Source organism: Homo sapiens, chromosome X, assembly GCF_000001405.40.
Source record: "Homo sapiens chromosome X, GRCh38.p14 Primary Assembly".
Classification (NCBI taxonomy): Eukaryota; Metazoa; Chordata; class Mammalia; order Primates; family Hominidae; genus Homo; species Homo sapiens.
This window is the reverse complement of record NC_000023.11, coordinates 23,360,243-23,376,707: the sequence shown is the minus strand read 5'-3', so window position 1 is coordinate 23,376,707 and position 16,465 is coordinate 23,360,243. Positions and strand designations below refer to the sequence as shown.

Sequence of the window (16,465 nt, the reverse complement as noted above, 5' to 3'; positions counted from 1 at the left end):
AGAGGATAACAAGAGTTATAATAAGGAGTTGAGACTCCCTTCTGTGACTTCTGCAGTGGCTCAGTTCTGATCTTTGGTGCTTATGAATACACATAAGCACAGACACAATCCACTCTTGGAAATCCACATAGCCGTGGGCAGATATACTGCGCATGCTACCTGAACATCTACCTATACCGAGTTTTAGAGTGCCCTGATTTACTTTCCTAAAAGAACCCCACTCAAGGCAGTAGAAACATTAGTGGATGTTCTAAACTGTAGTACCAGATATATTCACAGAGGGAAAAGAAAGCCAGGGTTTGAAGCTATGCTTCAGATAATCCACAAAATGGACAACTGCGATCCATATAAGCTTGTTATTGAACTAGGTAAGAGACGCTCTTCTCAGAAAAGAAAACGAAGGAAAAAACGACACAAACTAATTGTCCTGACCCTTAATGTGGTCTAAGTCTGTGGTGTGAAATAACATATAATCCATGTTTCTATAACTATGTATAGATTCTAGATTATTCATTCAACACACATTCAACAGGTACTCATCAAATCTACTATGCTGTCAATAATAGGATAATTTTCCTGAATTTAGCGTGCTTGCACTCGCGCGTGGAAAAAATCTCATGAGATGCAGTGTCCAAAACAAAGGGAAACTCCTAACAGTAAACAACGCCAAGTGCTTTGTACTAGTAAAGCCCGAACCAGTGTCAATTTCAATAACAATATTTTTTATTGTTATTGTATTTGCTGCCAAAGAGGCCAAAACTGAATGTTAGATTGAGATTAGTTTTAAGGCTCTGAACACATCACGTAAATTATTAGCTTCTTTGCTCTCATCATTCTTCAGGTTAAGAATGATAATGATAATAGTAATTAGTTTTCTAAGTGCTTTCTATACAGTTGAAAAATGTATTTAAAACAGACTCTGTGGCAATGGTGATACTATTATCCTCATTTTATAGCTGTTGCAACTGAGGCCTAGAGACTTTCAATCACTTACCTGAGATGAGCCAGTAAATAAGGGCAGACCTGATTCTCAAGTCTTACTCCACAGCAGGACACTTAGCATACACCAACAAATTCAGCAGTGAGCATGAAGACAACTTGGGGGTGGATAAAGAATTGTCAGCCCGGCCGGGCGGCGCGGTGGCTCACGCCTGTAATCCCAGCACTTTGGGAGGCCGAGGCGGGCGGATCACGAGGTCAGGAGATCGAGACCACGGTGAAACCCCGTCTCTACTAAAAATACAAAAAATTAGCCGGGCGTGGTGGTGTGTGCGCCTGTTATCCCAGCTACATGGGAGGCTGAGGCAGGAGAATGGCGTGAACCCGGAAGGCGGAGCTTGCAGTGAGCGGAGATCGCGCCACAGCACTCCCGCCTGGGCGACAGAACGAGACTCCGTCTCAAAAAAAAAAAAAAAAAAAAGAATTGTCAGCCCACCTGCTTCAAGTGACTGGCAGTGGATATGATTGAGCTATGGGATGGCCACAATTGGAGATCTGGGGTCCAATAAGAGAGACCAGAAATAATCCAAACAGCTAAACTCATGTTCAGACAGCAGCAACATTACATGGCAGTATTAACAGGTAACGAAGGGGATGGGTTTAGAGTTTAACGATTTTTCTTAATCTCCATCCAGCCTCTGGTGTTGCTAAATAAAGCTTTTCAAAGACAGGCTTCCTAAGAAAAAAGGTCCTGGGGCACAATGGAATCCAGTAAGAAAAAGTTTTGGCTTCCAGTGTCGCTTCCACTACCTACCTTAAGAGTGTCAGAAACTTCAGGAATCCCACTCTGCTTCTTTAAGTCTGAAACTTCAGTTCTCATATTTATCAGTTAAAAAGGGTGTTGGTCTAGCTAATATTTAAGGACAGACCCTTCCAGTTTTAACACTACATAATTCTAAGATGAGTGATATCCACAAACTACATAATCAGACACCAGGTGAGAGAAAGTTAACTTAATAAATATCAAATTGAACATTATTACGGCTACTTGAGGTATGCTTTTCTGACACACTGAAGTTCTTTTTCAGGGCAATCCGATCTGATAGATGAAACCCAGAAGGAAAACGGTAAAGAATATAGGTTTACTGGAAAAAAAAAAAAAAAAGATTTCCCTCTCTGAGTGATTTCCCATTCTGGGGAGGCGTTGGCTCTTATAATCCCCTTCTGCCAGATCCTGGGACAAAGCCAGTGTGGGCTGCTTGGTCACGACAGGCCAGAGTCTAATTTCCTCTCTGCCTCTCCTTGGCACACTCAGATCTTCCTCAGAAGACAGCAGGGACACTTTGCAGAGGACAGTACAGAAGGGAGGAAGGATGTATCTGCTCCTGAGTGGTGATTAACACAGGAAAAATACCTGTGGGTTTAGAGGATCTTATACAATACCTTGCAGGGTTTTGGGTTTTTTTTTTTTTTTTTTTTTTTTTTTTTGTATTTGTTTCTTGTTGAAAAGGGAGGAGGGAAGGAGGAAGGCCACTCTGCCCATGCAGGGCAATTAACATGCTCTGGGGTCAGCCTCAAACAGTCCCCAAGCAATCTCATCTGTGAGGGAAGACTCGGAGTTCGTATGGGTTCCCCATGTCGCAGCAGGATGGAGCTCCAGTCACCTCCAGTGGGAGTTAGCCTGATGACACCCCCTTTATAGGCTGTCTTCCCTTCCTTGTCTCACGTTTCCACCCCCTTCCCACTTCTTCTACTCCCAAATAAGCTGCATACATTAAAAAAATGTAAAAAGGAAGATTATGATTTGACTTCTTAACCTATATCATCCGTCCCCAAATATTACCTTCCAAGTGACACAATCAAAACTGCTTAAAAATGCTTTCAAGGAATATCTGGTTTTCACCCCTAAATAAAATGTTCCCTTCACTGAATCCCTCCAAACTACATGTCTTGATCTGGGTCTATATTCTGCAACTGTAAATGGGCAGGTGCTAACTGGCAAGGTATCCTCACTCAGGACGCAAGAAAACACCTTGAAGTGGATGGATCTGGCTGCAGCAGTTCATAAATTACGCTAGCTCCCTTGGTGTTATGTTCTGTCTTTGCATGATCTCACTCTCACCCACTCTCTTTCCTCTTCTTTTAATAGAAATGCATTACATCAGAACACCAGAAGTCGCAAGTTAGGGATTGTTACCGTGATTCATTTGTAGTGCAGCCAAAAGCAAGTTAGTCATCCCTTAATAAGTGAACAGAAATATCATCCTGCCTTTGAAATATTACATTTCCAGAGGACACCAAATTTAAGCTGTGGATATAGCCAAACAAGTGACTATCTATCCACACACTTCCTCTGCACATGTGTGCCTGGTGCCATGCTCACCTGCTCCAGTGACAAAAGACAAATGGTTACCTCTGTCAGTAATGCAATGCTAGTGCAGGTCTGGGAGAGTTGAATAGTTCTGTTTTGCTCCTTACTCTACAAGGTGGTAAACACTCTTATTGCGGGTACTGACACTGAAAAGCAGCCAAGACAGCCCTTATTGTAACTCTCCAAACAAGCTGAGTTTGTCTTTGCAGGCTTGGCTGAAAAAACAAGGCAGCTTTAGATTTGAAGCAGAGAAATCTGAGATTTTAGAAACAAAAAATAGTGATGGTGAAGGAAAATGCAATTGCAGTATCTCATTGCAACTTCTGCCTGACTCCACACTGGTATGGATAAGACAGTCAGTACAGTGAACCACAGGTTCAACAATCTCTTTATTCCCGTAGTCTGGGAGAAAATTTCACTTGGTCTTGATTTGTGAAAAAATCCTTCATATTATGAAGATACTTGGCAGTCTGTAAAGTTGAACTTTCTGATTAGAATGTTTAGAGTGGCTGATAGAGTGGCTATTTTTAAATTCCCTAAATCCTCACTTGAGTTTCATGGTCAAGCTTAAGCTGTAGTTGAGCTAGCTTGTGGGTGAAGAGTTTTGTTGGATAGCTCTAAGAGGACCCGATGCTCACAGAAACAGGAGAATGTTAAAGCTGATTGGCTGGACAAATGGCAAAGGAAAGTCCCAAGGAACCAAATGTTTGGGCTTGGGAACAGGCAACAGCTGTTACAAGATTTGATTAGCAGACCACAAATAACCATGCCAGGAACAGGAAAAACAGCATGCCAAGGACATTCAGGTCTAGAGAATGACCAACCATGGACCTGAATGGGAGGAGCACTGTATCAGGAGTCAGAAGGCTTCAATTTTAGTCCTGGTTCTGGGTTTTGCTGACCACATGACTTAGAGATAAACAAAACAATGAACCTATGAAAACACGTCACTTCCCTGCTTTAAATTCCCCTAGAGTTCCTCATCATGCTCAGAGCATTGACTTTGGCGCCTGACATGAAACATTCTCCTTGCTGACCTCTCTTCTCTGGACTCCCATCTCGCTATTCTCACATTGCAGTGCTCGTCTTGCTCTTGATTCTGCCTGGGACATTCTTCTTCCAGACACTTAAAAAACTTCTGTTCTCACTGCCTTTACTTCCCTGCTTAAATGCAATCATCTTTCCTGAGCTCACCCCTAATTTAAAAAAAAAAAAACACTAGTATGTTTGCCCATCACCATCATCTTTTCTTGTTTTAATTTTTTCATGGTACCATCATGACATGACATTATCATCATCTCTGTTTTTATTCTGCTGCCCCCATTCAAATATGAGTTCTGTCATGCCAGAATGTGTTTCTGTTTGGTCCACCTCTACATTTCCATTAACTAGAACAGTGCCTGGAACACATAACAATTGTGAAGTAAACACATGAATATAATAATCTCATGAGTAAAGGGACTTTAGTTTGTCTCATCATGGGCATGATGAAAGCCAAATGAGATGATGAGTGTGCATGCATTTTGTCAACTTTTGAGAGCTACACAAATACAATTGTATTATTATACAGCAGGAAGCATGGATGCTAGCTCCTCTGGTGAGTGGTCTTACAGCTTCCAAACATAATCTACAATTGAGTCCTGGAGCCCCTAATCCTTCCCGACTTGACAATATCTTGTGCTTTTGTGGGAGGGACATGGGTTATGAGGTTAGAATGCCACAAGTTCAAATCCTGCCTCTGTTCATAACACAGCTGGGCCCTGCGCATATCCCCTCATCCTTACCACTTCAGTGCACATATCATATCTATTTCCAGCCTGATGTGGAAATACTGGGGCACTAACATACTATCTCAATTCTAAGCAGGCTGGACCTATGACTAAAGACAGTCTGTGTATGAACAGCCCAGCTCACATGTCCTCCTAAATGGGATAACCCTACAACATGTGTTCCTCACTGTTTCCCAGAGTTCCCCAGCAGGATTAAACTCCAGTTGCCCACAGAGTAGCTGGCTTGACAATGCCTCCATAGCCGACGGCTTTTCTTCCCTGCCTCATGATGCTGTTCTCTTCTCAGTGCTTCCTGGGATTATCTTCCAAATATTGTACTCTCATGAAGTGCTTGACTCCAGGTTAGCTTCTGGGGGAGGTCCAACTAAGACAGTGAATTTAGATTTTTAATTCAGTTTTGTTATCTGAATTATGGGAATAATCCTTACCTCATAAAGTCATTATGATTACCTATAAAAGGTGTCTGGCCTGGCATTTAGTATTAGGTTAAACCATATGAAATTGCCATTTCTATAGGTTAAAAAGTAGTTGAATAGCGGCAATTTTATGTGAGTCACCTACCTGAGCTTTCGTCAGTGTTTGTTCTTTCCCCTCCTGCCTCTCCTCCTCCCCAAGAGTCCTGTCAGAACCTGAGCTTCCTGAGGGGGCTATCAGACAATTTTGTTTGGTTTCCAAGAGACAGTTTGGTGGTATCAGGGCAGGATTTTAGAAAAAAGACAACAGTTTTGGGCTAGGAAGGATCTCAGAAATCTTCTCATTCCCGTCGTTTTAACTTATGAAAAAAATCAAAATGCCATATAACCCACATCCCCAAGATATTTGAAACTGAATAATAATACTGTTAAATCAAAAAATATACAAATGTCTTCATCAGATGAGCTCTTTGGTAACATTTTTTCTTTGAAAGGATTTGCTATGTTTCTAATGGGCACTGAACTTGAGAACAATGGAAATTATGGCTGATGAAAGAAAAAATAAGAAGAAAGTTCCACCTAATGATATGGTAACAGCTCTCCTTAATGATGGACCATAAGCCTTACCAAGGATGAGTACCTGTAATTCATAAAATAACGTATTATAGGACAGTGCATTTCTTCCTGACAATAATTCTTCTCTGTTCTCAAGGTTCTCATACAAAGCTACTGCCCTTAAAAATCACAGGAGCATTTCAGCCACTGCCCTCCCTTTCCTGATCTGAAAAGAGGTCTCACAGGGCAAAAGGTCAAACTATGATAGTTTCTATGACTCGGCTTGCAAAGGCCTCGACCCTTCTGGGAGGTGCTGATGTTGGTGGCATGGTTTGGCATGATGGAATCAGACTGCCTAGGCTCAAATCCCAGCTTTGGCACTAAGGAGATGTGTGATCCTGGACACTAAGCTATTATGTAATGGCTATCCCTTGCCTCAGCTTATTCATCTGTAAAATGGGGCCAATAATAGTACCCATCTCATTAGGATTGTTGAAGGATAAATCAGAAATTGAATGTAAATTGCTCTGTACAGTCTCTGAAACACAGGTGGTACCCAGTAAATGTCTGATAGCAAAGACAAAATGAACAAACAGAAAACCCCATTTCTATCTTCTGTTGTGTCTTGTCTACTTCAACTTTCTTTTCCTTTAAATAGTGAAACTTCCTCCATTTTTCTTGAAAAGTATATTCAATGAAATGTAAAGGTGACCGATTTTTGCTCTCATCTTTGCTGAAAGACTAAGGGGTAAATGGGGTTAGAAGCATGGATCAGTACAAATATTTGAAGGGAACAGCTGGGTAGTATGTGTTTAAAGTTGGCCCTCCTTAATCCCAGTATAAGCTCCAAGTTTGAAAATTGTCCCATCATCTGCAGGTTAGCTCTCTAGTTAGATAACTGTGCACATCAATTAAAGGAATCCAGTCTAGGCAGGAAAAGATGGTAGGGGTAAAAGAAGGAAACTAAAAGGTACTAAGTGCTTGCTAAGTGCCGGACATTGTGCAAAGAATGCTACAATCTATCATCTTATTTAACCCTCACAGCAAATCAGGGAGGTAGATATTACCCCTCCATCTGCGCGTGAGGAAGCTGAGCCTCTAGGAGCTTAAATAACTTGTCCATGGCCACAAATTTAGTAAGTGGATCAGCCCAGATTTAAATCCTGGGCTCAGAAAATTGTCCCCTAATGAGAGTTCTTCTGGAAAAGTAAAGACTTTATCCCCTAATCTCTGTGCTTTGGACATTTGGATATTGATAAATTTGCTTTCTGGTATTAGGCTTAAACGTGGTCAACTCACAGCAGGAGATGGTGATGAGGTAGCAAAGTCGGGGGTCAAACATGACAAAGCAGTCTAGAAAAGCAACAAAACTCCGACCAGTACTAAACAGTAAAACCCAGTGAATGCCAGATATTTACAACAGAAACCTCAGAAAGAAGCCACAAGCCCATCACCAATGACAAGCATGCGCAAACAGCTGGAGATGAAGAAAACAGATGTGAAAAGGGAGAAGACTTTCATCAGTCAAAATAGCATCTTTTGCATCATGTATGTGTCTTTTTTTTCTTTTTTGAGACGGAGTATTTTTGCTTTTGTTGCCCAGGCTGCGGTGCAATGGCATGATCTCGACTCACTGCAACCTCTGCCTCCTGGGTTCAAGCGATTCTCCTGCTTCAGCCTCCCGAGTAGCTGGAATTACAGTTGCTCACCACCACGTCTGGGTAATTCTTTGTATTTTTAGTAGAGATGGGGTTTCACCATGTTGGCCAGGATGGTCTCGAACTCCTGACATCAGGTGATTCACCCGTCCTGGTCTCCCAAAGTGCTGGGATTACAGGCGTGAGCCACCGCACCCGGCCATGTATGTTTCTTATATAACCCCTTGACCTCAGAAACACACGACGAAAAAGAAAAAAACAAAACAAAACTTTACAGAACATATTTGTATAAAGGGGCTTGCGGTGTGTGGATTTACTGAAAATATCAGATTGAAGTTGGGGGTCTTATAGGACTTGGGTATCATCTCTCCCCACGGGGAGTTTTACACTAGAATATATATGCTTCACGACGGCAGGGATTTTGTTTCGCTCAATCCTATCCCAAGTACCTAGAGTAGTGCCTGGCACATAAAAGGAGCACAACAAAGATGTGCTGATGAAACCTTTAGTGTTTGTTCCTTCTTGCTGATTTATATTTCTCCGGTGACATTGAATGATACTTCATTTGTACCCAAAGGCTACTGTGCTACATGCATATCATTTACATCTTAAATAAACAGATGACATTGAATTTGCTCCTGTTGCTTACATGCTGCAGACAAATGGCTGATCTCATTAGACAAATGGATATGGTTAAACTATAATCTAAAAAAATAAGAGCAGAGAAACAATTTAGGTAGGCAACTGAGGTCTGAAATAATTATGTGCTATGCTTAATCATAGGGTAGTTTGAATTTTTCAAGTGTATTTGTTTTTCATATTTCCTTTTATTTTGAAAAGTTTTTTTTTTTTTTTTAAATACAGAAGTCTGGAGACTATTGTAAGAATTTCTATGTACCTACCATCCATGTCTATCTGAAGATTCTGCTCCTCCTGTTAATGCTGTTGATGGGTAGTGTGACCATATAATTTATCATCCAAACTGGAACACTTTTGGGAGTGCAAGAGGGCAGTGTTAATTTCACAGGAACAATAGGCATAAAATGGGACTATCACAGGCAAACTAGGTTGTATACCCTTCCTATCTCTGGATGTCTCAGACGATGCAAGCACTGATGTAACTTCATCTGCTTATGCCTCACAGCCGACCTGAGGTGACAGTCCTTTGGTTTGTAGCCCACTGCTGCTGATGGAACCTAGAATATTGCACGTGATACTATCCTGTCATCATAAAGGTCTCCAGGAAAATAATTTGGAAAAACTCCTCTTGTCTGTAATCACTTCCAACCACACCTATGCTCCCACTATTGCAACTTCCTTCCACGTCAAGACTCGGATGTTTTTGCAAGATTCAGTTATCCTGCAGCCTGGTTTTGCTTGCTACTTTAGAGGTGGAGTGCATCCATAGGACCCTCAGAACATTTCATCTACCTTCCCTGAGCACGCCAGCCCTACTGAAATTGACAGATAGCTTCTACTAAGCTGTCTCACTGGCATGTGGCTTTTGGAAGTGATATGCCCAGCCCGGAGCAAAGATTGCTTTCATGTCCAAAGGTGTCACTCTGGTGATTCTATCTTGCTTTAATGGTGACAATGGTTTGCTAATTTGGCTAATGAAAATTTTCAAGGCTTGCAGATGTGAAGTCTGTGATGGGTCTCAGACACTGGGCAGGTGGGAGGCCAGAGGTTTTTTGCTTTGTTGAGAATCAGAAGTCATGCTGATAAAGTCTTCTGCACTTCATCACCAATTATAGCAATGATGCATTTACTCAACATATATTAAGGGACTACACCATACTGGGCATTACGTAAGCCCTGGAGAGATAAAGAACATTAAGACATAACTTTATCTTCAAGTAACGTAGAGTTTAGTGGAGGGACTTCAGGCAGATTCTCAGAATTGATTAGCGCAAGCGAACCACAAAGTCCAGTGAGTGTTACAGTGCTATGATAGGAATAGCTAAAGGGGTATAGGGAGTCTAGTATGTTGGTGTCCAGGATATATGCATATGTGAGGGGGATGCAGGGGTGTGTGTGTGTGTGTGTGTGTGTGTGTGTGTACCAGGAGCATGTGTGTAGCAGTGGTGAGTGTGCAATAGAATAAGAGCTGGAAAGGAGACAGGGGTCAGACGACGGAGGATCTTATTCATTCATTGAAATTTATTAGTTACTATTAGTAAATCTTACCTGAAGCCATGTGAGCAAGACAAACATGGTTCTGCCCTCACAGAAAATTCAAACTGTGGGAGATAAAGACAAGCAACAAGACAACTACAAAATCTTTGTGGAGTTCTAAGACAAAAGAAGTGCAGAGTATTAAGGGAAGGGCACCCACACTGGCCTTGCAGTCATCAAGGACGATTTCTAGATGAACTGACTTCTAAATTAGGACCCAAGAATGAGGAAGAGTTAATTAAGGGCAGAGGTTTGGCTCAGGGCGTGGAACTGGTTGAGAGAGTATTTCAGGTGGAAGCTAAGGCATGGGCAAAGTTTCAGAGGCACAAAAAGGATGTCAGGGGAAATGGAAGTAATTCAGGCTGGTAGGAAAACGGAGAGGAAAGCCAGAGGGGCAGGCAAAGTCCCAATCACACAAGGCCTTGTTAGTTGAACTTGGAAGACAGACTTTGTCCTGTGGGCAACTGCGAGCCAGTCAAAGATTTTATCAGCGGATGAAATGATCAGAAGTGTGTCTTGGGAAGTTCAGTCTGCCTGCAGTGTGGTAGCTACATTGGAAAGGATGAAGAGTGTAACCAGGGAGACAAAATAAGACACCAATGTAACAACTAGTTCACTGACGAAATGAAGGTCTGAACCGTGGGGGTCATACTAGCTTGAAGGAGACAGAAGGTTTATGCCTTTACTTTTTTATAGATCTGGACAGCTTAGCCAAGGCAATAAGCCAGGTAATAGAACAGGATGACAACTTTCAGCTCCATGGTACTGATTAAACATTTGGGCTGCATTTCCCAGGTTTGGGTCTTAATGTGCCATCTATCAACTGTAGATTTATAGATATGTAGATTTAGCTGATGTGTGGCTTTTCAATTTTCTGTATGTACACTTCTAAAGTGCAGTCATAGACTATACAAGCAGAGAAGTTCCTGGCCAATTGCTTTAAGTTCCTCTGCAGCAGATGCAGTTGGCACCCTGCTCATATCCTCTAGCCCTTATCTCTTGAGAGCACACCTGCCCGACTTCAAATGCCAGCACCCACACTTCTTTGTCACAGAGCCCACTTCACCATCTGCTTGGCAGGCCAGAAGTGCTGGGGAATTAACACTCCTTAGGAGCATCCCTCAACCAATGACAGATGGGACTTGGCCTATAAATACCCAGCTCCCTCCCCATGGGTGGGATCACTTTGGGGTGAGTGTGTTGTAAGCTGGTTCCCAGAGCTTCCCCCAGTGTGACTGTGCTCTAGTTGCCCACAGAAGTGGCCTGCTTAATTATATGCCCTTTTAGGCTCCTTCCTCTTTCTTTCTCTCCCCTCTGCTCCGTTCTGTTTGCCCTACACCTCCCAAGTAAGCTGCCTTTACTTGATTTCTTGTTTCAGGATTGGCTTCTGAAACACAAACTAAGAAAATGTCCAATAATTCTCATAGCCTCTGGAATTCGAGTTTCCTAGTGTCCTCAAAACACTAAGCCATTCTAAAACCAACTCCCCAATGTCTTGTATTATTTTCACACAGCCATATTTGAACACACAACACTCAACCGTTAGGGAATAAAGCTAGGATCTTGTGAGCTTCTCTTCATACTCAATCTTTTGATGGTAGGCACATTTTTATGACGATGAACACAGTAGGTATGCAATAAATATTTCTCCAAGTGGCCCAAACAAGTTCACGAGTGTAGATGGCCTGATGCTGTCAACTGCACTTCACCCTCATTTGGGACACAGTCCAGTCTTTTCATTAAGGCTTAAGGCTAATCACTTGTTGGGTCTAGGGTACACTGCTGATGAGAATGTACCGTAACTCTTCAAGAAGTACTTAGACCTGCATCCTGCCAGGAATGGAGAGCTGTGAGATGGCATGATCTCTTATTTTTCTTCTGGCTGATGATAAAGGAAGCAGGCATTTGTTTGGCTTTTACTTTATTTGGAATAAAAGCTTAGAGACATAGTTAGAAGCCTCTTTGCAACCTTCCGGATCATCTCAACAGGTAAGGTCTCAGGCTTCAGTGTTCTCTGTTGACAGCAAATGCTGGAATATTGCCCAAGTTGGATGAAAGTCCCTATCTTTACATTTCTGGATTTCTGCTGTTATGGCAGTAGGTGTGTGGGAGAGACAGCTGATGTGTTCACTGGATTCCTTCCCAGGCAGTGATGTGCCTGGGGAGTATGTGCTGATGGAGACAAATTCTCCATGCATCGGCATTGCTGCCAGTACAGGTGCTGAAAGTCCCCACGATGGCAGTGAGTTGGATGTCACTAAAACTGGGCTGATTTGTCTGCCAAGATTCAGGCTGCCTTTCTTCTTCTTGGTACTCACCATTGTTGGATGTTCTGTACTGCTGGGATGGTAGTCTAACTCTTCCACCTTACTGACAGGGTCACTGAATACGGTGTGTGTGTGTGTGTGTGTGTGTGTGTGTGTGTGTGTGTGTGTCTACACTCTTCATAATTAAGGTATGATTTATATACAGTACAATGTGTAAATGTTAAGTGCATATTTAATGAATTTTTATATATAGATACACATAAACATTGCTCAGATCAAGACATAGCATATTTACAGTACCCAGAGGGCCCTCTCATGTCCTTTCCCAGTCAATAACCCCACTATCCCCAGAGGAAAGCTATTCTGACTCTATCAACTTCAGCTAGTCTTGCTTATTCTTCAGCTTCCTAAAAATGGAATCACGTAGAATACACTCTTCTGTGTCTGCCATCTTCTACTTAACTGACCTGTGAGATTTATCCATCTTGTTGTGCTTATCAATACTGTTATTTTTATTTATTTTTGCTGTGTAGTAGTCCATTGTGTGAAAATACCACAATTTACTTTTCCATTCTCCTGTTGGTGGACCTTTGGGTTGTTTCCAGTTTGGTTGTTCTTTAATTAAAACTGCTATAAACTTTGTTTTACATAGCCTTTGGTAGACATATGCACTCACTTCTCTCAGGTGTACATAGTGGTATGTTGGTAAATATTGAACAGTCAGTTCTATAATAAAAATAGCTTGACTTCCATTCCAAGATGGCCGAATAGGAACAGCTCTGGTCTGCAGCACACAGCGTGATCGACGTAGAAGACAGATGATTTCTGCATTTCCAACTGAGGTAGCTGGTTCATCTCACTGGGACTGGTTGGACAGTGGGTGCAGCCCACAGAGGGTGAGCCGAAGCAGGGCGGGGCATCGCCTCACCCAGGAAGCGCAAGGGGTCAGGGGATTTCCCTTTCCTACCCAAGGGAAGCCATGAAAGACTGTACCTGGAAAATTGGGACACTTCCGTCCAAATACTGCGCTTTTCCAACAGTCGTAGCAAATGGCACACCAGGAGATTATATCTCACGCCTGGTTCGGCAGGTCCCATGCCCATGGAGCCTTGCTCACTGCTAGCACAGCAGTCTGAGATCGACCTGCGAGGTAGCAGCCTGGCAGGGGGATGGGCGTCCGCCACTGCTGAGGCTTGAGCAGGTAAACAAAGCTGCCCTGGAAGCTCAAACTGGGCGGAACCCACCGCAGCTCAGCAAGGCCTGTTGCCTCTGTAGATTCCACCTCTGGGGGCAGGGCATAGCTGAACAAAAGGCAGCAGACAGCTTCTGCAGACTTAAACGTACCTGACTGACAGCTCTGAAGAGAGCAGTGGTTCTCCCAGCACAGTGTTTGAGCTCTGAGAATGGACAGACTGCCTCCTCAAGTGGGTCCCTGACACCCGTGTAGCCTAACTGGGAGACACCACCTAGTGGGGGCTGACTGACACCTCATACAGGTGGGTGCTCCTCTGGGATGAAGCTTCCAGAGGAAGGATCAGGCAGCAATATTTGCTCTTCTGCAATATTTGCTGTTCTGCAGCCTCCACTGGTGATACCCAGTCAAACAGGGTCTGGAGTGGACCTCCAGCAAACTCCAACAGACCTGCAGCTGAGGGACCTGACTGTTAGAAGGAAAACTAACAAACAGAAAGGAATAACATCAAAATCAACAGAAAGGATATCCACACCAAAACCCCATCTGTAGGTCACCAACATCAAAGACCAAAGGTAGATAAAACCACAAAGATGGGGAGAAACCAGAGCAGAAAAGCTGAAAATTCTAAAAACCAGAGTGCCTCTTCTCCTCCAAAGGATCACAGCTCCTCACCCGCAACGGAACAAAGCTGGACGGAGAACAACTTTGACAAGCTGACAGACGTAGACTTCAGAAGGTCGGTAATTACAAACTTCTCCGAGCTAAAGGAGGATGTTCGAACCCATTGCAAGGAAGCTAAAAACATTGAAAAAAGATTAGATGAATGGTTAACTAGAATAAACAGTGTAGAGAAGACCTTAAATGACCTGATGGAGCTGAAAACCATGTCCAAGCTTCAATAGCCAATTTGATCAAATGGAAGAAAGGGTATCAGTGATTGAAGATCAAATTAATGAAATAAAGCAAGAAGAGATGTTTAGAGAAAAAAGAGTAAAAAGAAACGAACAAAGCCTTCAAGAAATATGGGACTGTGAAAAGACCAAATCTACGTTTGATTGGTGTACCTGAAAGTGACGGGGAGAATGGAACCAAGTTGGAAAACACTCTTCAGGATATTATCCAGGAGAACTTCCCTAACCTAGAAAGGCAGGACAACATTCAAACTCAGGAAATACAGAGAACACCACAAAGATACTCCTCAAGAAGAGCAACCCCAAGACACATAATTGTCAGATTCTCCAAGGTTGAAATGAAGGAAAAAATGTTAAGGGCAGCCAGAGAGAAAGGTCGGGTTACCCACAAAGGGAAGCCTATCAGACTATCAGCGGATCTCTCCGCAGAAACTCTACAAGCCAGAAGAGAGTGGGGGCCAATATTCAACATTCTGAAACAAGAGAATTTCCAACCCAGAATTTCATCTCCAGCCAAACTAAGCTTCATAAGTGAAGGAGAAATAAAATCCTTTACAGACAAACAAATGCCGAGAGATTTTGTTACCCCCAGGCCTGCCTTACAAGAGCTCCTGAAGGAAGCACTAAACATGGAAAGGAACAAACGGTACCAGCCACTGCAAAAACATGCCAAATTGTAAAGACCATCAATGCTAGGAAGAAAATGCATCAACTAATGGGCAAAATAACCAGCTAACATCATAATGACAGGATCAAATTCACACATAACAATATTAACCTTAAATGTAAATGGGCTAAATGCCCCAATTAAAAGACACAGACTGGCAAATCGGATAAAGACTCAAGGCGCATCAGTGTGCTGTATTCAGGAGACCCATCTCACATGCAGAGACACACATAGGCTCAAAATAAAGGGATGGAGGAAGATCTACCAAGCAAATGGAAAACAAAAAAAGGCAGGGGTTGCAATCCTAGTCTCTGATAAAACAGACTTTAAACCAACAAAGATCAAAAGAGACAAAGAAGGCCATTACATAATAGTAAAAGGATCAATTCAACAAGAAGAACTAACTATCCTAAATATATATGCACCCAATACAGGAGCACGCAGATTCATAAGGCAAGTGCTTAGAGACCTACAAAGAGACTTAGACTCCCACACAGTAATAATGGGAGACTTTAACACCCCACTGTCAATATTAGACAGATCAATGAGAAAGAAGGTTAACATGGAAATCCAGGAATTGAACTCAGCTCTGCACCAAGCAGACCTAACAGACACCTACAGAACTCTCCACCCCAAATCAACAGAATATACATTCTTCTCAGCACCACACCACATTTATTCCAAAACTGACCACATAGTTGGAAGTAAAGCACTCCTCAGCAAATGTAAAAGAACAGAAATCACAACCAACTGTCTCTCAGACCACAGTGCAATCAAATTAAAACTCAGGATTAAGAAACTCACTCAAAACCACGCAACTACAGGGAAACTGAACAACTTGCTCTTGAACGACTACTGGGTAAATAACGAAATGAAGGCAGAAATAAAGATGTTCTTTGAAACCAATGAGAACAAAGACACAACAAACCAGAATGTCTGGGACACATTTAAAGTAGGGTGTAGAGGGCAATTTATAGCACTAAATGCCCACAAGAGAAAGCAGGAAAGATGTAAAGTTGACACCCTAACATCACAATTAAAAGAACTGGAGTAGCAAGAGCAAAGACATTCAAAAGCTAGCAGAAGGCAAGAAATAACTAAGATCAGAGCAGAACTGAGGGAGATAGAGACACAAAAAACCCTTCAAAAAATCAGTGAATCCAGGAGCTGGTTTTTTGAAAAGATCAACAAAATAGATAGACCACTAGCAACACTAATAAAGAAGAAAAGAGGGAAGAATCAAATAGACACATTAAAAAATGATAAAGGGGATATCACCACCGATCCCACAAAAATACAAACTACCATCAGAGAATACTATAAACATCTCTACACAAATAAACTAGAAAATCTAGAAGAAATGGATAAATTCTTGGACACATACAACCTCCCAAGACTAAACCAGGAAGAAGTTGAATCCCTGAATAGACCAACAACAGGCTCTGAAACTGAGGCAATAATTAATAGCCTACCAAGCAAAAAAAAGTCCAGGAACAGAGGGGTTCACAGCCAACTTCTACTAGA

General features: G+C 42.3%; 1 protein-coding gene across 2 annotated transcripts in view; it reads right to left on the bottom strand.

The window, feature by feature from the left end:
• The window catches only part of PTCHD1 (patched domain containing 1), a 69,979-nt gene that overhangs the window by 27,667 nt on the left and 25,847 nt on the right, over positions 1–16,465 (bottom strand). The window lies entirely within an intron of this gene.